General features: G+C 48.0%; 1 protein-coding gene across 2 annotated transcripts in view, besides 1 other annotated feature; it reads right to left on the bottom strand.

Moving 5' to 3' along the window:
* Positions 1 to 4441, bottom strand: part of ADAMTS15 (ADAM metallopeptidase with thrombospondin type 1 motif 15) — a 28001-nt gene extending 23560 nt beyond the window's left edge. The window contains exon 1 of one of the 2 annotated variants that reach the window (NM_139055.4): positions 3156 to 4441. In NM_139055.4, coding sequence (NP_620686.1) covers positions 3156 to 4112 — 957 coding nt within the window. In that variant the 5' untranslated portion in view covers positions 4113 to 4441. Of the gene's footprint in view, positions 1 to 2694; positions 2950 to 3155 lie in introns of those variants that run through there. The other variant, XM_005271419.5, reaches the window with a different exon arrangement.
* Positions 971 to 1472: an enhancer, noted in NCBI's record as "NANOG hESC enhancer chr11:130321509-130322010 (GRCh37/hg19 assembly coordinates)". NCBI's record gives its function as "activates a minimal SCP1, AML or CMV promoter by ChIP-STARR-seq in naive H9 embryonic stem cells {active_cell/tissue: H9 hESC(naive)}" and the evidence as "EXISTENCE:reporter gene assay evidence [ECO:0000049][PMID:30033119]".

Genomic DNA, 22487 nt, shown 5'->3' with positions numbered 1-22487 from the left:
CTGGCACTTAGCACAACCTGCTGAAATTAGCTGTTGTCTTGTAAGCTCCCCATCCCATGGTGAATTCCTGGGGACCTGAGGCCGCAATTTTTTTTTTTTTTTTTTTGAGACAGAGCCTCACTCTGTCACCAGGCTGCAGTGCAGTGGCATGATCTCGGCGCACTGCAACCTCCGCCTTCCAGGTTCAAGTGATTCTCCTGCCTCAGCCTCCTGAGTAGCTGGTACTACAGGCGTGAGCCACCACGCCCAGCTAATTTTTGTATATTTAGTAGAGACAGGGTTTCACCATGTTGGCCAGGATGGTCTTGATCTCTTGACCTCATGATCCACCTGTCTTGGCCTCCCAAAGTGCTGGGATTACAGGCGTGAGCCACTGCGCCCGGCCAAGGCCACAATTTATTACAATTTGTAGCTCCACAGCCCAGGGTAGTACCTAGAAATAATAATAAGTAATGCTCAACAAGTATTAAAAGAGTGTACAAATAAATGAATGAAAGCCATTCTACCACAAAGGGTCACCCAAACGGCAGCGTTATTGGACCTAAAGACAGAGAAGTCTCAGGGAATGAGGGAGGGCCTACCAAGTCTCGGCATTAAATACCTGGCTCCTGCCGCCCAATGCAACAAGAAGCCAAAGAAACTTTTCTCCTCATAGAAATAAATGAGAAACACTCTGGCTCTAGTTCTTCGCAGATCCTGGTTCCAGTCCTGTGCTGACCTCACCCTGCTGTTATGAGCCTGGAGACCGATCACTTTGCAAAATCAGATGTGCACTTTTCTCCATGAACTTATTCTGAATCTGTAAGTAAACTCCTCAAATTGTCAAAATACTTGTTGTATAACCACTATATTCTCCTTTCCGGGCAGTTAAGGTTCCCGGAGACCGCATCTGCCTTAATCTTAGAAAGGGCAGCTACTCCCTCCTGTTCTCATCAAATACTGTACCTTCCCCCAGAGATATCAGGAGTGAGAAGATCCTGAGACTCTCAGAATGCAGTAGGCCCTGAAGTCTGAGCTGCTGAGGAGGTGGGGAAGAGGGGTTTCCTCTGAAGCATAAAGTACATACCTTGATGGTGGCCCTGACCACACAGAAGCCTCACTCTCTAGCTTTGCTCTCTAGGCACCTAAGGGGAAGGCAGCTTCTAAAAGTCACATTTTGCACATCACTGCTTCTGATCCAGTGGTCATGCATCTTGTACCCATTATGCATGGACAACACAGCCCCCGGGGGGTTGAGCACACACCACTGAGAAATAGAAGCTGTCATGCTGTTTGATTGCTTCTTCTTCAAAAGGCGGCCTCCTTCTGACGGCATGGTCCCTATTCCCAGCAGGAGTTCTTCTCCTAGGGCTGACTCCAGAAGCCAGCCTTCACCACCAGGCTGCAGAGGCTGAGGTCTTTTATTTTGGAGCCAGTGAGTGACCTGCACTGGGGCAGCCCAGGTAACGAATGGGGCAACAGCTGCTTTGCCCATTAAGATATCCTGTTCTTGGCCTTTGCTTTTTTTCAAGCCCCAGCAATCTAACTGCCAAGCTGGTCTGTGTGCAGAGGTCAAAGCCACCTCCTTTGCAGCTTCCCCATGACTCAGGCAGTGCTTGCAGAGGCTGGGCAGTGGCAGCTCAACAGACCTCAGTTGGAAGAATGAGCACAAGGAAACAGACTCAGGCCAAAGACCTCCCTAGAGAAACCAGGTGGTGGGAGGAGAAGAAGGCTGGGAACAGAGGAAGTTCGACTCCAGGAAGGGACTAGCTGTGCCAAATGGGTTACTGTGGAAGACTCCAGCTCCAGACTGTGTGCGCCAGTCCAACTTTGAGTGACCATTTGGAAACAGTGGAGAGTTAGAGCCCCACAGGTAACCAAGGATTCCACGCCATCCCCAGAGTGCTGTGGTTATGATAATAACCAAAAAAAAGAGCATGGCACAGATTCAAGTCACAGTCCCCCAAATCAGAAGAAGAGGCTCACTTGGATGGCTCTTTTCCTCCCAGCCTCCTGTATCTGAGAAATTTCAAGAATCCAAATACTCCTCAGTGCCCAATCACTCCAACACCTGTGAATCTAAACGTTTGCAGATTTGTAGCTTCTTTGACATAGAATATCAGGAAAGGCCTTGCAAAAGGCAGGGCTGCTTCCTGGGCTGGGTCCATCTTTCTAATCCCAATACTCAGTTTCCTTCTAACTCTACAGCTGGAATCTCCAAATACTCTTGACTAAGCTCACACCACTTCCACCCCAGCAAGGGCAGAAGCTAGAGCCCTGAAGTCAAGTGTGGTCATAGGAATTTTAGTGACTTGGGAGCAGGAGCAAGCATGCCCGCTCTGCTCTGTAGTATACATCTGGGCAAACGGGTCACCCTCTGACAGCAAGGATACAGGAAAATTGGAAGAGATTTTCCCAACTCAGCTCCAAGTAAAACTCCACTTGAAACTCCAAGTGAAACAGTCTCAGCTCCAAACAGGTGCCCTAACTACACCGCCTGCTCAGAATGGTCTAGAAGCCTCTTGGACCATGCCCAGCAGAGAAGTCTGTAGGAGAAGCGGCAGTGAAGGAGGGATGCTCGCAGTACTTGAGTCTGGCCTGTCACTGCAACCCACAAAATCTCTCAATGATTCCCTCCACCCCAATCCAGGCTTTCCAGGCCCAGTACAGAGAGGGGACAACGTGTTACCCGAGAGAAATGTAGCAAGCGCTGACCTTGGATCACCTTCAGTTCTACAACCCTTGAAAGGAGACCTCAGGAGGTGTCCGAGAAGACTCAGCCGCCCATACAATAGGGGTGGGCCGTTCCCGCCCTCTCCAACACCATCCTCACGGCGTCTCCTATCGGTCTTGGACACAAACTGCAGCTCCGGGGCGGCAACTTCCTGGGTTCCGGCCCCTCGGCGCCTGATCCAGGAGGCGCTGATTGGCCGCGCCAGGCCAACACCTTCGGAAAGCGCAGGCTCTCCTCCAATGGCCCAGATGCACGTGAGCCGCCGCTCCGCGGAGCGTGGGAGAGGGCTCTCCCTGGAAACTCCACAGAGTTGGAGTCGGAAGAGATCAACGAGGTTTAAACTCGGAGGCATTGCACGATACAAAGGGGATTTGGAGCGCTAGGGGAGGTGACCCTAAAGAACGGGACTATCTGGGTGCAAAGTGACGGCAGATCAACTCACCTGCCTGGTGAAGAGGATGGCAGTGTCCCAGTACTCGGGGTGCTTGTCACTCACTTTGTTCAGCTTCTTCTGCCAGGCACAGAAGTTGCGCAGCGTCAGGGCCGCATTGCCGGTGACCTTGGGCCCGGAGTCACGATCTCTAAGAAGCAGCACCTTGACCACAACGATGTTGATGGGGTTGAGGATGCTGGGATGGCGGTAGAGTCGCGCCGCCGTTGCCAGCAGCGTCAGCAGATAATGTTCCAGGTCCGCGCCGTGGAACTTGACCATTGACTCGTCCGCGACCACCAGCGTCTCCACGTACCGCGGGATAGACACGAAACGCTTGGCGCGCCCAGACCTGCGCCGGCTACGACTCTCCCCGAAGCCCGCCCGCCGCGGCTTGTAAGGGTCCAGGGCCCGTAGGATGGCGGGGTTCCAGCCCGAGGCCACCCCGCAGCGAGAGGTGGGGTCTCCGGAAGGCCCGCCCGGAACACCCCGGCGCTGGAGAAGGTGTGCGCCCTGGCTGTTGCGCTGCGCCGCCGGCGCGCTAGCATTGGGCAGCGGGCTAATGACATACTCGGCGCCTCGGTAGCCAAAGGCTCCGCGGAGCCCCCCGCACAGGCTCACAGCAGCGAACGAGTCCGGCTCGGCGTTCACGTCCCCAGAATAGAAGCAGCGTCGCAGGTCTGAAGAGCCCCCGGTGAGCCCCTGGAGGGGGACGCCCAGATGCTCAGTGGAGAAGGCGGGAGCCAAGAACTGAGCATCCGGCGTCAGGTGTAGGTAAAAGTCCTCCTGAAATGCTGTGATCTGAAAAATGAGTCCCTGATCCCCGGAGTCCTCGGGACCCCGCCAGTAGTAGCGGCGGCCGTTAATGTCCGGGTCCAGTCGGATGGGAACGACTACCTCCCGCTCTGGCTCAGAGCCTCCAGCGGTTCGCCCGGCGAAAGCCAGGGTTAGGATGCCCAGCAGAAGCATGGCGCCGGGCAGCGCACCGCCGCGCTGTGGGAAGGGGCTGGGCCGGGCTCTCCGGCCGCTGCCGCGGTCTCCGTGCAGCCCGCACTCTGGAACCGCCAACGCTACGGGACAGCCGGCAGTTCCCAGAAAGGAGAGCCAAGGGAGGGAGACTCCTCCCAGGGCGGCGAGCGTGCACCCGGCAGCCCGCGCTTCCTACCTGTGCCTTTCCAAGCAAAGCGCGCCCTGGGAGCTTAAGTACAATCGCTGTCAAGTGCAAGGACGAAGATTTGCAGCCGAGAACTAGCGGAAGGTGCCGGGCGGCTTCTCGCAACCGCAGCCACTCGCAGCGCAGCAAGCCAGGCGCTGGGCGAGCCTATTAAAGGCCCCCTCCTCTTTGGACGGCCCAGTCAGCGCCCCTCCCCTCACTCCCCTCCCAGCCTCCCAGAGCTCGCTGCCGGAGCCTCCAGGGGCCACCGGAGAACTCGGTCCCGCCTCCAGAGCGGAGAGCCACTTGGCGGGGAGGGAGTGGCATTGAGCTGAGGCAGGAGGCGTGGGCTGGCCCGAGAAACCGGCGCTGAAGTCTCAGTTTGCGTTTTGCTCTTGGTTATGCCCCACTGTCCCGACGCCTCACTCGCTTCTGCCCCCGCGGACAGCGTTCACTCTCTGGGTCTTAGTCTTTTATCTCAGGGCAGATCAGGTCAGCAGCTAGGAATGAAGACCCTTCACTGACCCGTCCCCAGGCCCACCTCATCCCTGCTGTTGCAACATCCCTGCTGTTTCTTAATCACAGAGTCCCCTAAAAGACCCAGAATCAAGAACCACCCCCCCCCCCGCGTAAATGTCCTATTGCCAGAAGAGCAATAGGACAGGGGCATGGGAGCCCTCTGGAACCCAAGACCGCCTAGCCCCAAGGTCTGCCCTGGGCCCATGGTGTGCTGGATGGGCTGGGGCAAACTCTTCAGTTCTCAGGAATCTTGCCAGCCAGCTGTTAATCACGGACATTATTAAAAATTAAACTAAACACACTTACAATTAAACAAAGTGTATATATATATATGCACACACACACACATACATATATATACACATACATATATATATATACATACACACACACACACACACACACACATATATATATATATTTTTTTTTTTTTGAGACGGAGTTTTGCTCTTGTTGCCCAGGCTGGAGTGCAATGACGCGATCTCAGCTCACCGCAAACTCCGCCTTCCGGGTTCAAGCCATTCTCCTGTCTCAGCCTCCCAAGTAGCTGGAATTACAGGCATGCACCACCACGCCCAGCTAATTTTGTATTTTTAGTAAAGACAGGGTTTCTCCATGTTGGTCAGGCTGGTCTCGAACTACCGACCTCGGGTGATCCTCCTACCTTGGTTTCCTACCTCCTACCTTGGTCTCCTGAGTAACTGCGACCACAGACACACGACACCACGCTAGGCCAATTTGTGTGTGTGTGTGTGTGTGTGTGTGTGTGTGTGTGTGTGTGTGTGTATTTTTGGTAGAGACTGGGTTTCGCCGTGTTGCCCAGGCTGGTCTTGAACTCCTGAGCTCAAGCAATCCACCCACCTCGGCCTCCCGGTGCGGGGACTACAGGCGTGAGCCACCATGCCTAGCCACAAAGTACATTTTTAAAAGGTAATAAATACTCAAAACCCGTCGCTTCCTAAGTATTTGATAATTACTTATGGTCTTGAGCCACCAGAACCGCCAACCCTCTGAGACAGCAACTCCCAGAAAAGAGTGCAGAATGGGGTGGAAATGTGAGGGAAATATTAAATGGTGTGCTGCCCTGCATCTCCCCAGTCAGGGACATCACAATGGCTTGAAATAGGTCCTGGTAGAAGTATTTACACCACCTGAATAAGCAAATCAGAGCTGGGGTTGGGGGCAGGAAGATGAGCCCTTGTACACAGCTACCTGCCTGGCAGGGATGTGGAGATCAGGTTCTGGGGCTGCAGTTACAAGAGGAAGAGGCTGTCTTCCAGCAAACAGTAGAAAAATCGGGCCAGGCTTCCTCCATGAAATTATCTCATTTGACCCTTGACCAAACCCTGGACTGGGGACTGGCATAGGAGGCCGAGTGAGTATCAGCTGGAGAAGATGCAATCGCACCTTATGTTCCCATCTAGTTTGGAGAACAGCCCAAGGAGTTTTTCAGGCTCTAGACCTCAAGATCCTTCTTACCTCTCCGCAGAATCAACTTCTTTCTCTGACAAGGGAGAAAGGCAAGGAGAGGAGGGAGGCTTTGCTACTCTCTCCTGATACCTAGAAAATCTTTCTGGAGCCAAAGGGCTCTGAGTTGAGTTTGCAAGAGGGGAGGACAAAGAAGGGAGTGTGTGATGATTTTAAGCATAAAGGGGATGATGTGGGAGAATTTTGGAATTTTTTTTAGGGAAGTGGCTGTTCAAGGGAAGAACTCTATTGTCCAAGGAGAGAAAAGGCTGGGACTGGTCCATCAGTGAAGAGCACTTTTTGCCCATTATCTTCTCCCCATAAAGGATCCACTCTTGGAAGCGCCCCCTGGGGCCTTGGAACATGAAGATGGCTCAGATGCCCATAATTCCAGTGAGGCCTCTCCTTGATTGGGACACAAGGAGCTGAAATTCATTATGTGAATGAGTGAGAGATGGGTGTTTATACTCTGCAAATGAAAGAGAGTGTATGGGTATGGGAGGACTGTGTGTGAGACAGGGAGTTCAAGCTTACAAAGGCCCTGTGTGTTTGAGCGTTCAAAGAGGGCCTATAATTAAAGAGAAACGCAGACAACCAACAGCAATGATAAGTCATTTATTTGGGGCAAGCAATTGTTTTACTACACCCGGCAGTTTTAAAGGTGGATTGCAAGGTTTTCAACGGCACTTTACTTTCATTCTGACCCATGGGTTTTGGCAAGGGCTGCAGCATGTCAGTCAAGATGGCAGGGACCTGAGACAGGAAGTCCCTCCCACTTAGTGCTCCCCCTGCCCCAATCACAGCCCAGCTATTCTCACCCCTGAGCACAGAAACTGGCCATGTGGATTTGCTCAAAGGGATTAGCATGTATTGCAGGCTTAGTATGTGCTAAACATTGCACCAAGAGTTATATGTGCATTCTCGTATTTAATGCTTGACTGTCCCCTCTTGGAAGCCTGTGGTTCCATCCAATCACTTTTGCCAGGGAATTGAGGATCTAGGGATATGTTGAGCACTTGAGTAGAGGTGATACTCAGGATTGGCACTCCACTTCTATCACTGATCTGATTCTCTGACTCGTCTGTCAAAAGAGAAGGGGTTATCCTAGCTCAGAGGTCTTCAGCCAGAGAACTGCATCCAAAATCTGTGGTCTAGATAATACCTAAGATAACGACCAGGTCAAATATTACATGACTGATTGAGGCCTATGGAAGGGAACATAGTACAGTGATTTAGAGCCCATGGTCAGAGGGCCCTGTGTGCATGCCTCCACCAGATCTTAGCTGTGCAATCTTGGGTAAATTACTGTACCTCTCTAAGCCTCACTTTTCTCATTATTAAAATGGGGATACAAATTCTACCCACTGCCTGGACTAAATGAGTTAATATTATACTTCCAAAGTGTTTGGCAATGCTTGGTATATTTTAAAAGTTCCTTAAATATTATCGAATAGTACTGCTAATATTCTTATGTGCTATTATTATTACTCCTCCTAGTGCTATCAGTCTCTGCTAGGCCCTCCAAGCTGATTGCTGTCATCACCTTCTGAAGTTTTCTGGGGCGTGTCCTCTCCCAGTTCTGCTCGGGAGCTTTCACATTGGCTCCCACGTCCCACTTCCATAACGGGACTCCACAACCGCCATGGAGTTCTCGCTTCTCCTGCCCTCCATGATCTTAACATCCCTGGAAAATAAAAAGCAACTCCCTGTCAATGTATGAAAATGAAAATTTTTTAAAAAGCAGCTCTTCCCCCAGAGGACGACTGGGGGTCTAAGCCATCTGTCAGATCTAAGACCCCCAGCTTGGCCTTTCTGTCCTTCGCCAACTAGGCTGGCCTCTTCACAGCCTCCAGGTCTCAGCCCAAGTACAGCCCCCTCAGAGGGGCCTTCCCAGACCGCCCAATCTGAGAAGTCCCAAGTCACAATCATGATTGCATGTTTTGTCTTGTCCACTAGCATTTACCTCTATCTCTCTATCTAAACCTATTTTGCTCACTTAGATCTTTTTTTTTTTTCTTGACTGACTTCCCTCCGTTAAAATGAGAGCAGGACCTTCCCCATCTCGTTCACTGTTATATCTCCCAGAGCCTGACACAGTGCTGGGCTCACAGGGGCGCTCCAAAGATACTGAGCAAATGAATCAACCCAATTCTAATCCAGCTTGGTCCCTTACAGTCTGTAAAATATTGGACAAGATACTTCATCTCCACAATGAAAATGTGGCTCTCTCATAGAGCGAGTGCCTGACATACTTCTCTCATAATTATGTATTTCTACATCTCTCTGACAAAAACCTTAGCCTGGCACCCTAGTTACCTAGCCCAGTACCCTAGTCACCTAACCCAATACCCCAGTCACCTAGCCTAGTACCCTAGTCACCTAGCCCACTACCTTCATCCCATAGGTGTGGCAGCTGAGGTCCAGAGAAAGGAAGTTACTTGCCTAAGGCTACCCAGCCAGTTTCTCTACTCATCTCATGAAATCGTTTCTCTTTACTCTTCATCTGAAAGCCTGGCCCTAGCTAAATTCATTAGCTTGAGTGCTCCTGCTCAGAAAGTGTTCTTTCAGCATGCGTATTTATGTGAGCCTTTCCTCCCATACAGAATGGCCTCTCAGCCTCATCCATGCCTGCCTATATAACCCTCACTTCCTATAGGAAGCCCCTTGACTTAACTCACACAGCTCTGGTTGCTCTTTTTTGTTAGTTCCTCTGGCATATATGCATCCCATTTCCAGCATAGGCAGAGTCCATTTGAACTCGCTTGCCCTTTGCTAATTGTGTGTTCATCCCTTTTCCCGAGACTGGGCTGCAGCCACACTTGTCTGGAAACTCATCAAAAGGAGGGCTTCCTTTCCTATTATACTAGTCTCCATGACAGTCCCCAGAGGAGGTGTTAACTTCCTGGTCAAGCCAGCTGGATGCGGCAGGTTCCAGGTAGAAGATCAACTCAAAAAGGTAACTCACAGAGGCCAGAAGGAGGCAGCCACAAGGATTAGGTTTGGATTTCACTTCTTTTTTTTTTTTTTTTTTTTTTTTTTGAGACAGAGTCTTGCTCTGTCGCCCAGGCTAGAGTGCAGTGGCGCAATCTCAGCTCACTGCAACCTCCGCCCCCTGGGTTCAAGCGATTCTTCTGCCTCAGCCTCTCAAGTAGCTGGGATTACAGGTGCCCGCCACCATGCCCAGCTAATTTTTGTATTTTTAGTAAAGACGGGGTTTCACCATCTTGGCCAGGCTGGTCTCGAACTCCTAACCTTGTGATCCACTCGCCTTGGCCTCCCAAAGTGCTGGGATTACAGGCATGAGCCATCGCGCCCGGCAGATTTCTTCATCACGGGATGAAGTCATCACAGAAGTCATCACAGGATGACTTCTGCCTACCTGTGAAATTGGGCATCCTGGAGGATCTCTTCAAAACAGGAGAAAATAATTAAGGAGAAAAACGGGGTGGAGGGACAAGCACTATGATCTGGGCAAGATTTTAATGGGCAGGGAAATGACTTAGGAAAGTCTCCCAATTCCCCAGATTAGCTATTCTAAATCATTGGCCTACCATGTTAGGACTTAAATCGGTTTTTACACAGCAGCATGAAAACAGATGTACAAATTTATCATGTTTTGAGCTTAGGACTTGATCATTCTTTACCAAAGATCCCTAAAAATCCCAGATGCGTTTAATCTGCTCCTCTTGGAATCTGTGCCACAGAGGTGGGCAAAGCAGGCAAAGTATAGAAAGGCACAGGCTTCAGGAAGCCCCCGGGAAGGCCCAGCGAGTGTTAAATGACTGAGCTGCCATCATCCACTGGCTTCCACAACTGCTGGAGCTCTTGGCTGGTCTTCTCCCAGATGCAGAGACAGCTGAAGCAGCTGGAGATTCATCTAAGGCCCCATGAATTACAGCCCTGGCCTGAGTTCATTCTTCATTACTCAGAGGAAATATTTAACTCTGTTTTTTCCCTCTCAGCCACCCACTCTGTTTTTGACTCTGGGGCTAAGCGTTTAAGTAGAAGTCTCTCTGGTGCTAACTCCTGTATTTGTTCTCTTGGATGCTAGGAAATTAGAGCAAAGGGTCTTGATGTGGCTTGGACAAACTCAACAAACAATAGTTCCAGGCTGCCTCCTTTCACCCTGAATCCCCCTTAGACAGTCTTAAATAACAGCTACCCCCCTGAAATCTAGGGCTCCCTGATTCAATCATTTATTTTATAGATTTACACACACGCCCCAGGACAAATTACTTTGGAGCTCTTGGCTATTCTGCGTATAGCTGCACCTTTAGCTTTTAGGCTGGTTGAAGGAGAATGCCTAAAATAGAGATGAGATGGATGCTAAATCCTCAACTCCTATCTAGGGATTTAGAAAGCAATTAGTTTTTCCTGCCAAAAAGCTTCTATCTCCTCTACTCTTCCCAGTATGCCCCTTTTCCCACCGTCAACAAAGAGTAGCTTCAAGATTGAGCTTGACCTTGAGCCTCAGGCCTCCACCCCATCTCTAGCAAAGGACCACCTCCGGGCTCCTGCAACCCAGATGAGGTCCCAACACAAAATTGATTGCTCTCCCAGGTAGCATGGTTTCTTCCATTAGCTCATCCTCCCTCCTAATAAAAATACTTGACATATACAAAATACCATATGACTTGTAAATAAGTTGATATATATTATCATTCCATCCTTACAAAAATACTCAGGGAGGGGAGCGATGGGACAGGAGTTATTAACATCTCCTTTTTGAGTAAGAAGAACTAAGACTCAGAGTTTAAGTGACTCAACAAAGATCACCTTATCCCTGAGCAGCAGATGTATAACTGAAACACTCCTCTCCTGTTAAATTCCAGCCCTGGGGACTCCTCTGACCTCAGCTGCCTTTCTTCTGGTAAGACCATCCTATTTCCATTTTTCATTTTCCCATTCTGACTCATACCATGGGTGTACCCCAGTATCATACACTTCCAGCCACACTCAGCTCTCCCCCGTCTTCCTCCCCTACACATACTCCTTCTCACACTCCTTGAACACATGCTCACAAGCTAGTTGAAATAGAATTCATGAGAATCCAATGAGTTGCCTTTAAGCTGAGCCTACTCTGGGTCAACAATTAGCTTAATGGCCCTAAAGTGACTTGGCCCACTGTCTTTGGAGCTTCAACAAGAAGCCACGGAAAACACCCATGGAGTATTTTTCCCACTGCGTTCATTTTTACTTTGCTGCCTGTGCACTATGGCATGGATAGGGTTTGGATCTCTGTCCCCACCCAAATCTCATGTCAAATGGTAATTCCCAGTGTTGCAGGTGGGGCCTGGTGGGAGGTGATTGAATCACGGGGGCGGGTTTCCCACTTGGGCTGATCTTGTGACAGTGAGTGAGTTCCTGTGAGAGCTGCCTGTTTGAAAGTGCCTGGCACCTCCCGCTTCTCTGTCCCTTGCTCCTGCTCTGGCCACATGATGTATGTGCTTCCCTTTCACATTCCACCATGAGTGTAAGTTTTCTGAGGCCTCCCCAGAAGCAGAGCAGATGCCAGCATCATACTTCCTGTATATTCTGTGGGACCGTGAGCCAATTAAACCTCTTTTTCTTTATAAATTACCCAGTCTCAGGTATTTCTTTACAGCAATGAGAGAACAGACTAATACAGACACTAAAGGAACTCAGCTCACTGGATATTAACATAGATCACGTGGGCTCTAATGCAGCAATCCTTAACCATCCGGATCCTTGGAGAATGCCACAAACACTGTGAAACCTCCTCCCTGACAAACACCCAGGCACATGCACACGCAAAATTCTGCCCACAATTTTGGGAGATTTGCAGCCTCTCAGAAGTTCATTCTTTAACTCCCAGAGGCTTAGAAAGACCTGCCCATGCCCAAAGAGGAGGAAAAGTTTCTTCTCTCACTGGGAGTAAGTTGTGAAAACACTTGAAAATCAAAAAGACCATGCCAGGACCTGAGCCTAACATACCAGCCCTTGTATGACTGAGAGGTCAAGAGCAAGGATCAGTCTAACTCACTGCCAGAATTGCAGGTCAGCAAGCCAGGGCCCAGTCCCGGCCCTATTTGAGGTTGCTTTATTTTGGGGTGCTAGTTAAATGCTTCCTGGAGTTTTGAATCCCCTACTTACAGAAAGAGTAAGAACGGTCTCATTATCATTAGTAATGACACATTGAGCCCACAGACTGAATAACATTATTTAGGACTCTTGTAATCAGAAAGTATGATACAGTTCCCGTTGCAGGAGCCTGCAATTTATTTGATTTGTTCTGCCAAGAAAAACTGAGGGGAGCTGCAGGCTCTTACTTTCTTCATCTAGGTGAATTTAGGGGGTAGGCAAGTAGCCTGTGGAAACCCAGAGGCAGCAGCCCCTTGTGGTTTACACCCTACTGTCAATTCTCTCCCCCAGCATGCCCGTCTCCCCTGCACCCTCTCCAGTCCCTGTCTGGCCTCCCCCACGCCATGCTTTCTGCTGCTCTCTCTAATTCTTCTCATGCGTCCTCACTCCCATCTCTCAAAATTTGCTACCAGCGTCTTCATTTATCCTAAGGTGAAAATAGCTGATAAAAAGCACATGCACATCAACTGATTCCGTGTACTCACCCTGCTGTCATCCACCAGGCTTCTTTCTGAGCCCAACAGAGCCAGGATGGGAGGACTTCCATTCAGCAAGCTCTCAACCTCAAATTTTTCATCTGGCATCTCATTTAGAAATGTTGTGTGGAATGCTTAGCTCATCTGGCCCTCTCTTTTACCAATGGTCAACGCACATCGCCTCACTTCAGACGGAATGTGTTTCACTCCAGCAGTGGGAGGTGAGTAGGCAATGGGAATGAGCATCACGGCCAGTCAACAAGGCAGCATGGGCCCAAGAGGCAGGTGCACTTTACAACTGAGCCTCCAGGAACCTGATATGCACGAGGCTTATAGATGTGAGTTTTCTCCGATCCTCAAGAACATTGGAAATTAAAGGGCAGACAACTCTGGTATTTAACTAAAGAAGAACATAAAACTAGTGTTTGAGCCTGGCCAGTCACAGAAGAAATCTGCTTCCGGCTGCCCTGGCTCAGGCCCACCTCCCACCTGTACACAGTTCCCAGAGCAGAGCCTGAGGTGCCCAGCAGACCCTGCTGTTCTCCCACCATGGGTTCCCCAGTGCTCTACTGAGGAAACAGATGTTGTCTCCTCCATAAAGGCTTTCCACGCCATGCTTCCCCTCACTCTCTCCTCTCTGCACCTTTGTGCAGCCTCTCGTCATCATTGAGAGCCAAGAGATGATAGGGTCCAGTAATGTCACTTCTTAGCCAAGCTGGCAAAAGCGGCCCAGCAACTTGCCCAATGCTTTCAAGCTGTGGTTGGTGAGACTCCAAAAGCCAAGTCACTCCAAGTGAAGATTCTACCCTCCCTCTCCTTTTTCTCCCTCAACTAGCCAGGAACCTCCTCCTTCATGTCGGTACCTCCCACCTTGACATTTTGAATCAGCCAACAGGCCAACCGGAAGACACTTGACCACAGAACCCAACTGAGTAAAAGTCACTGCAATCAGCAAAGGAAAACCAGGGGTGCTTCCTGCTTCCGGAAAGGCCCCAGTTGTGGGGGGAGAGGAGACAGCAAGGAGGGTAACTGACAGGCAGATGTCACCTGTGCTCTAGGAAATGTGGAAAAGGAGAGAAATGGAGGAATGGGGAAAAAAGTCTGTTTCAGGCTAGGTAAGGACCCTCTGGATATCAAGGTGGCAATGAATATGTGTGATGAAGCTCAGGCAGTGATGGGGACCAGAAAGGCAGATTTGGGAGTCAAGTGCAGACATGTGCAGTTGAAGTGGGAGTGAAAGCGTATTGCTCAGCCGGATGCAGTGGCTCACCCCTGTAATCCCAGCACTTCGGGAGGCCAAGGCGGGTGGATCACTTGAGGTCAGGAGTCCGAGATCAGCCTGGCCAACATGGTGAAACCCTGTATCTACTAAAAATACAAAATTTAGCTGGGCGTGGTGGCACAGGCCTGTAGTCCCAGTTCCTCCGGAAGCTGAGGCAGGAGAATCACTTGAACCCGGGAGGCAGCGGTTGCAGTGAGCCAAGATCTTGTCACTGCACTCCAGCCTGGCGACAGAGCAAGACTCTGTCAAAAAAGAAAGGAAGCAAATGAAAGAAATAAAGAAGAAAGAAAGAAAGAGAGAGAGAGGGAGAAAGGGAGAGAGGGAGACAGAGAGGGAGAAAGAAAGAAAGAGAGAGAGAAAGAAAGAAGGAGAGAAAGAAAGAAAGGGGAAGGGGAAGGGGAATTGAAGGGAAGGGAAGGGGACAAGGAAGGAAGGAAAAGGAAGGAAGGAAGGAAGGAAGGAAGGAAGGAAGGAAGGAAGGAAGGAAGGAAGGCACATTGCTCTATGAATATTTGTGAAATTTGGGGTTGTCTTTGTTTCCTTTCAAAATTGTACCAGACTTCTTCCTCCCCCATGCACACACCCAAAGCAATGAGCATGTCCACCTACACCTCTTCCCTGCTGTTTTCCCAGCTAGGCCAGTGGCATATCTCTTCACCTCAGGCCTCCGCTAGGCAGCCTCATCTCTCTCCCCGTGACCACCGCGTTCCTCCCTGCCGCCACTTCTTAGCTGAGGCTACTGCCATCTCCTGAAGTCATGTCCTGACAGGTCTCCATTATCCAATCTCTCCACTAATGCAATCCTGATTCTACACAATTGCTAGAGCTGTCTTTCCAAAGACAAATACGGTCATGTCACTTCCCTGAGTACAAGGCTTCAATGAACCTGCATTGCCCTCTGGGAGAAAGCCCAAAGTCCCCAGGGTGATGAATACCCCCCTTCACATACCGGCCCTGCTGACTGTCCCAGCTGCAAGTCCTGCCATGCCTCAGCAGCCCCTTACACCGCAGACTCAGGGAACTCCTCACTTTCTCAAACATGGCAGACTCTTTAATGTCTTCATGTTTGTGTGTCTGTGTGTGTGCGTGTCTGTGTGTGTGTCCGTGTGTGTGTTGGCGGGGGGCGGGTTTCTCCCTCTAGTGCCTGGTGAACTCCTACTCATTCATTAAAGTCCAACAAAAATATCACTCAAATGGAATCCTTCCCAACCTGCTGCCTGCCCATCAAAACACAGCTATCACTACTTTTTCTGGGTTCTCATAATGTGTTATTTCCAACATAATGTATTACTTCCAACAATAGACGTCTACTGAACTACTACTCCGTATACCACGTTTTGTGGCTATAGCTTTATTCTTGTACTTGCAGCATTATATTATATTTATTTGGCTATTTAACTTTCTCTTTTGCCAGACAAAGAGCTGTCATGATGAAAGAGGTGATCAGAACACGGGAACTATCTTTTGCATTTCTTTGCCTCTGGTGTCTAGCACCATTTGTGACATAGAGTAGGTTAATGGAATTACTTACTGGAAGTGAAGATACAGAGAATGGGGAGCTGAGGAAGGAAAGGAGGAAAGAAGAAAATCTGGTAAAGTCCAAGGAGAAGAGAGAAGACTAGGGTGGGAGCCCAGAGATGGGAGCAAAAGCGGAAAAATGAGAAAGAGGAGAAACAGAAAGGTGTACCACTTCTCCCAGCACCACCGAAATACGTGTGTGTGCACATGTGTGTAGGTGGGTGGGCAGGTTTGATGTGAGTTGGTGTCCATACATACACACAAGGCAAGCTGTGGAAAAAAAGCTTTCAACATTTGAAGCTTCAATGCTAATTAAAATGCTTTTCCATGTACGTGCACAAGGCTACATCTATCCCCCTCCCCCCTTCCTCTCCCACCATGTGGCTGCTCTAAACCTCACTCTCTTCCTAAGTCCTCAGCCCTTCTTACTTTCAACATCATCTTTTGAAGCAATCAGAGGATACCTTCACATTCTTAAATAGTTTTACACAGGGTAAAACACTCCTTTGTAAGTCACTAAATATGGCCAAATTATAGACATTTTGAATTCCTCCATAATAGAAGGCTCTTTTCGTGAAGAAAAAAACAAACATCCTAAAAGAGAGCAGTCTGAATGAATATAACATGGTCCATTGGGTTAGGGAAGATGCCGAACTGTATCAGCACATCCCACCCCACTCCATGGACCCAGATTGAACTGTCAGCCCTGCCTCCAGACAGCCCCGGGACTTGGTCATGTCATGCCCAGATCCTGCTCTTCAGGAGACAGTGGCATTCGAAGTGACATAAAGAGAACAGTGGCTGAGAACCTACATTCTGGCCCTGAATCTCCTGCCAACCAGTTGTGTGACTTTGGTCAAATGACATTTGACCAACAAGGTCTCAATTTCCCCATCAGAAAAGTAAAAGGTTAGAGACAGGGATCTCCTAGGTTCCATTCCCCTCTACTGTCTACGTCTCTCTTTAAAGTTCTCTAATGCCAGTGAGCATGAGGAGACTCCAGACAGAGCGCCTGCCAGAGAGAATGCTCTGACAAAAAGAAAGAACTCCTGTAACCTCAGGAAGTGGGATCAACAGACAGCTGCACAATTTGCAATGGGGGTAGATATCTAAAAGTCAAAACAAAAACAAAACTCTGTGTTTCTTATCCAGAATCCAAATAATCCTCCACTACTCAAGACTATTTGAAGATTAGGCCCAGCAAGGTGGCACGTGCCTGTAGTCCCAGCTACTCCCAGTGTCTGTAGGCTGAGGCAGGAGGATCACTTGAGCCCAGGAGGGCAAGACAAGTCAGGGCAACACAGTAAGACCCTTTCTTTAAATCAAGGATAAGTTTTAATTTTTTTTAATTTTAAAGAACATTTTAAAATTAGAAGGGATGGGTCCTTCAAGGACCTATAATCTCCTGCCCAGTCCTGGTATTCTCTTTTATCACCCTGCAGGTACCCGTGTCATTGCTTAAACACTTCCAGGAATGAAAAATATCTCCCTGTGCAAAGTTCTGCAGAGATGCAAGCAGGGACGGGTAGCATAGTTACTTAGGGGCCCTGGCATGTGTCACTGGACCCCAGCCAGATTGCTCCCTCATGCTGGAGCCACAGTGTCTGAAATTCTACTATTAGTCATTTATTTCTTTTGCTTCCCTTTCCTCGGATCTCTTAAAATTCAAACATTTCTAGTAGTACTTGCTACCAAAACAAAGCGTTCATGACTTATTGGCTTCCCTCCTGTTCATGAGAACAGAAGGTCAGAGGAGAGCCCTAGGTGATTCTAAAAGAAGAGAGACCCTGAGGATGAGGGGAAAGGTGACAAGATACATTTTAAATACTTTGCACCAGGCCAGATGGGAATATATATGATGAGGATAGGATGATGATGATAGAAAACAATAAACATGCCTACTGTGTGCCAGGCACGCTTCTTAGCACTTCAACTCTAACTCACTGTAAGCACATTTATAAGAACTGGGTAGTTTTTCCAAGTTCCTTGTAAAAGGGACTTGTTACAATGGGACTTACATTGGGACTTGCTACAGTGACTTTCAATAAGCAGCTTATCTGCTCGGAGAAATCACCCCAGATCCTGAAGATCCTGGCTCCTTTCCTGCATTTCCCTTTTCTTTCCTTCTAAAACAAAGATAAATAAGTGTAGTTTTGCAAGTTTGTATAATACATTTACACATATTACATGTATATATAAACTCCGAAGTGGTTAGTGGCTAGTGAGATGCATTGTTGAGGGCGTTTTCAGACCCTCTCCTTCCAGGACCCATAAAAGGTAAATATGCCAACACTCCCACCTGCTGGTTACAATCAATAGTGAAGATTTGGGAGAAATACATGTTTGCATTAATTAATTGGGGTGTACAGAAACCAAGCCGTCCTCATGATTAAGGTTGACCCCGGCCCTGGAGACATCTCAGCTTTGCAAGCTCTCCCAGCCTGTGAGATCATTAGAGTTGAGAGGCACTGGTGTCATGAAGAGCAGAAATCAAAGTGAAGAAACAAGAATAAATAGGAAGGAGAGACGCACGACTCACGCTAAACAAAGGAACAGGACAGAGCCTCCTTCAGCTGGCTCCGGTGATTGGCTATGAGGAATTGCTGTGTGCTGAGATTTTTTGAACAATGTTGAAGGACTGTTTCCTTAGACTGGCATGACACGGCAGTGATGCCTAATTTTTTAGAAAGTTGCGAGACAGAGAGCGAGCGAGAGACCGAGAGCGAGCGACCGAGAGCGAGCGAGAGCGCAAGTTCCAACAGTGCCACCTCCTGGCCATAATGTGGTGAGACAGGCATGACCTATGTCTCGGTTCTCATGGTGGCAACTGTTACTGCTTATAATACTAAAATGTGCAAGTAACTCTTACTGGCCAGGTACTGTAGTAAGCACAGATTGTAATCATGGATGCATTCCACATGGAGTCTTGGGCAACCTTTTACGAGTTTCTTGCTAGACTCCTCCACAAGACTGTATCTTGGGAGAACAGGAACCATCTCTTCTGCAACTTTGGGAACCCAATACTTGGCAGTTAGTCACTAAGAATACAAATGGCAGGAACAGAAAGGGCTGTTTGTGAATTTGTTTCTCAGTGTATTAAAATCAATTAAAACCTCATTAGCAAGCAATACAATGTCAATATCGCAGTAAAGTTTCTGCTAAATCTGGTTTTCCCTGATATAGATCACAGAATTGGGAGCATGCCTGTTGAGACTGTGAACACCAGATGAAGGCAGGAAAAATAATCAGAGTAGCTAGCTCTTTACAGGGAATTGAACTTAAAGTGGCCTCAGGGATATGATTTAATGATTTCCAGCCAGGCGTGGTGGCTCACATCTGTAATCCTAGCACTTTGGGAGGCGGAGGGCAGGAGTTCAAGACCAGCCTGGCCAACAGGGTGAAACCCCATCTCAACTAAAATTACAAAAATTAGCCAGGCATAGTGGTGGGTGCCTATAATCCCAGCTACTCAGGAGGCTGAGGCAGGAGAATTGCTTGAACCTGGGAGGCGGAGATTGCAGTGAGCCAAGACCATGCCACTGCACTCCAGCCTGGGTGACAGAGTAAGACTCTGTCTCAAAAAAAAAAAAAAAAAAAAGATTTTCTAAATACTGAAAACCTTTAAAGGTTCCAAAAAGAGAGACTATCTAGGACTAAGGAAGAATTAAGCAGCACAGACATGCTTCCACACATGCAGGTGGCAGTCACAGAAACCTGCAGGCCAAAGGGAATACAAGGCGACTGTCAGCACAAAAGTGATGCCAAAAATCAGACATTGCCTGCCTGGGATGTGTGCTCAGTGATATGATAGAGGAGGACAAGGAAATCCTTTATTACAGGCAATGTGGAGTCACAGCCATTGCACAATAGCCAAACTTACAGAAAATGGACGTGAATTGTAGCACAAATGGTATTACTTTGTTTAGAAGGAAAGAACTCTGTTTATATTTAAGTGCTAGCGCAGGCTTTTGAGAGAAGCTGTTTATTCCCTTCTTTGAGATTTTTAAAGGAGGGCCATTCTCCCAAGAAATCTCCAACGACAGGCCCAATGAACACCTGGAGTCTCTTCCAGCTCTGTAATACCATGATGTAATCCTTGGTTCTGCTCAAAGGAACACTAATTCAGTGTACCACAATCTCACCAGAAAACTGTCGTATTCAATTTCCAGTTTATGATTTCCACCTTGGTTAAGAATTCTGTCTCTGCTGCTTATTAGCTAGGTGACCATAAGCAAGTTCTCTAACCTCTCCAGCCTATTTCTTTACCTGTCTGTAAGGTGTCTTTTTCAGAGGACTGTCATGATGATTAAATGAGATAAGAGTTGTGAGCTGCTCAGCACAGTGCCTAGTGCACAGCAAGCACTCAAAAGATGGAAGCTATTATTACTGAGGATTGAATGGAAATTAAATTAAAATAAGTGCGGCCAGGCACGGTGGCTCACGCCTGTAACCCCAGCACTTTGGGAGACTGAGGTGGGCAGATCACGAAGTCAAGAGATCGAGACCATCCTGGCTAACATGGTAAAACCCTGTCTCTACTAAAAATTAGCTGGGCATGGTGGCATGCGCCTATAGTCCCAGCTACTCGGGAGGCTGAGGCAGGGGAATCACTTGAACCCAGGAGGCAGAGGTTGCAGTGAACCGAGATGGCTCCATTGCACTCCAGCCTGGCGACAGAGCAAGACTCTGTCTCAAAAAAAAAAAAAAGTGCTCAGAACAATGCCCAGGCCCATAGTAAACACTAAACTTTACTGAAAATGTACGAATTGTAAATGAAGTTCTAAAGCAAAACAATTTTTTTATCTTCATGTAGAGGATACGATAGTATTTTGGGGAAAAAAATTCATCACTAGTTATGTCATTTTGGGTAAGTCACTGAAACCTCTGAATTTCTGTTTCTTCTCTGCAAAATGTGAGTGGCAGTGGATTAGATGATCACCATTGTTTCTTCCCGTTTTAAGGAGTCTGGAATTCTAAAGAATACCAGAACTTATATACACTAAAAATGTATCATATATACCATATAAAACTCTAGTTATAAACTAAGAAATAAGCAGTCACTAATAATGTAAGTTGATCAAAAACTTAAAAATCACTATAGGCCTACAGTATAAGACACCATAAACATAAAAATCTTTTAATTATTAAGGATGGATTAAATAATAAGCAACTATTAGATACAGAATTAAAGACAAAACAAAGATATTTTCATTTTTTATATAATTTCCTTTTCACATTCAGAGCAAGCAATTATTTTGAGCTTCTTATTCCATAAGAATGGCATATAGCGAGCTTAAGTAATCCCAGATTCCAAATTTGAGGAATCCAAATTGATGCTCTTTTACATTCAGGAGTCAGCAAACTTTTCTGCAAAGAGCCAGATAGTAAATATTTTAGGCTTACTCAACCCTTCCCTCGCAGCTCAAGAGCAAAGAATGCGTACATGAATGGCTGTGGCTGCATTCCAATAAACTTTATTTATGGACACAAATTTGAATTTCATACCATTTTCAAGTGTCAAGAAATTTTAATATTCTTTCTAATTTTTTTAATTTACCACTTAAAAATATAAAAACTATTCTTAGCTTGTAGAGTGCAAAAAAACAAGCAGTGTGCAGCAATTAGCCCAAGGGCCGTAGTTTGGCAACCCTGCCGTAATTACATATTTTGGGAAATAAAGTAGTAATGTAAGAAATCCGGAATTGGCAGAATGCCGTTATGGGATTTTCACGGGTTGGTTTGTTGATGTTTGTTTTGCTGCACTGTTTTCACCTGCCACTCCTCTAAGAGCGGCCACTACAAACCACCCACCCTTTCTCGCTCCCTGTGGCAAGGGTCCTGGGTTTAACATAGCCAGGTCCTGGGTTTAACATAGCCAGGTCCTGGGTTTAACATAGCCAGGTCCTGGGTTTAACATAGCCAGGTCCTGGGTTTAACATAGCCAGGTCCTGGGTTTAACATAGCCAAGGTAAGCCTGACACCTTGTGGTTGCATTGCGAACGGCAGGAGCTACCTTGGAAGTTAGCAGCACTGCACATCTGGGGAAGGGGAAATCCAGGAGGGAGCGGGGACTGCGGGGCCAGTCAATGAACCAGTCAGCAGGTGGTGGTGGTGGTGGTGGCGGCGGCGGCGGTGGTGGGTGGTGGGGGTGGTGGGGGTGGTGGTGATGTTGTTGTTGAAATGAGGAAGGATAAAGTCCAGAACTCACTATCTGACTTCTCTCTCCAAAGAGAACTTCCAAAATGCTACCTATGGGGGCACTTCATCCTATTAAAAAAATGAAGCAGCAGTGGCCAGGCTCGGTGGCTCACGCCTGTAATCCCAGTACTTTGGGAGGCCAAGGTGGGAGAATCACCTGACGTCAGGAGTTCAAGACCAGCCTGACCAACATGGTGAAACCCTGTCTCTACTAAAAAAAAAAAAAAACATCAGCCGGGCATGGTGGCAGGAGCCTGTAATCCCAGCTGCTTGGGAGGCTGAGGCAAGAGAATCACTTGAACCCTGGAGGCGGTTTCAGTGAGCTGAGATCTCGCCATTGCACTCCAGCCTGGGTAACAAGAGCGAAACGCCATCTCAAAAAATTAAAAACTAAAATAAAAATGAAGCAGCAACTTCCAGAGCCTTCACAACCAAAGGCTCCATGGACACTCAAGACTTTCCTTGGTTCAGTTAAATCTCCCACTTCTAGCCCTTAGCATTCGGGCGGGAGAAAGGGAAACTGGGCACGCTCCTCACTCCCACTCCTCCCAGATGCTTACACTCGAGAAAGAAGGAAAACCCACAGGACCTAACTGCTACTGAAAATCAGGAGTTAGCTGGCACAGTAG

Source organism: Homo sapiens, chromosome 11 (genome assembly GCF_000001405.40).
Source record: "Homo sapiens chromosome 11, GRCh38.p14 Primary Assembly".
In the NCBI taxonomy this organism is placed as follows: domain Eukaryota; kingdom Metazoa; phylum Chordata; class Mammalia; order Primates; family Hominidae; genus Homo; species Homo sapiens.
Note: the sequence above shows the minus strand (reverse complement) of the source record. Positions and strands in the feature narration are given on the sequence as shown.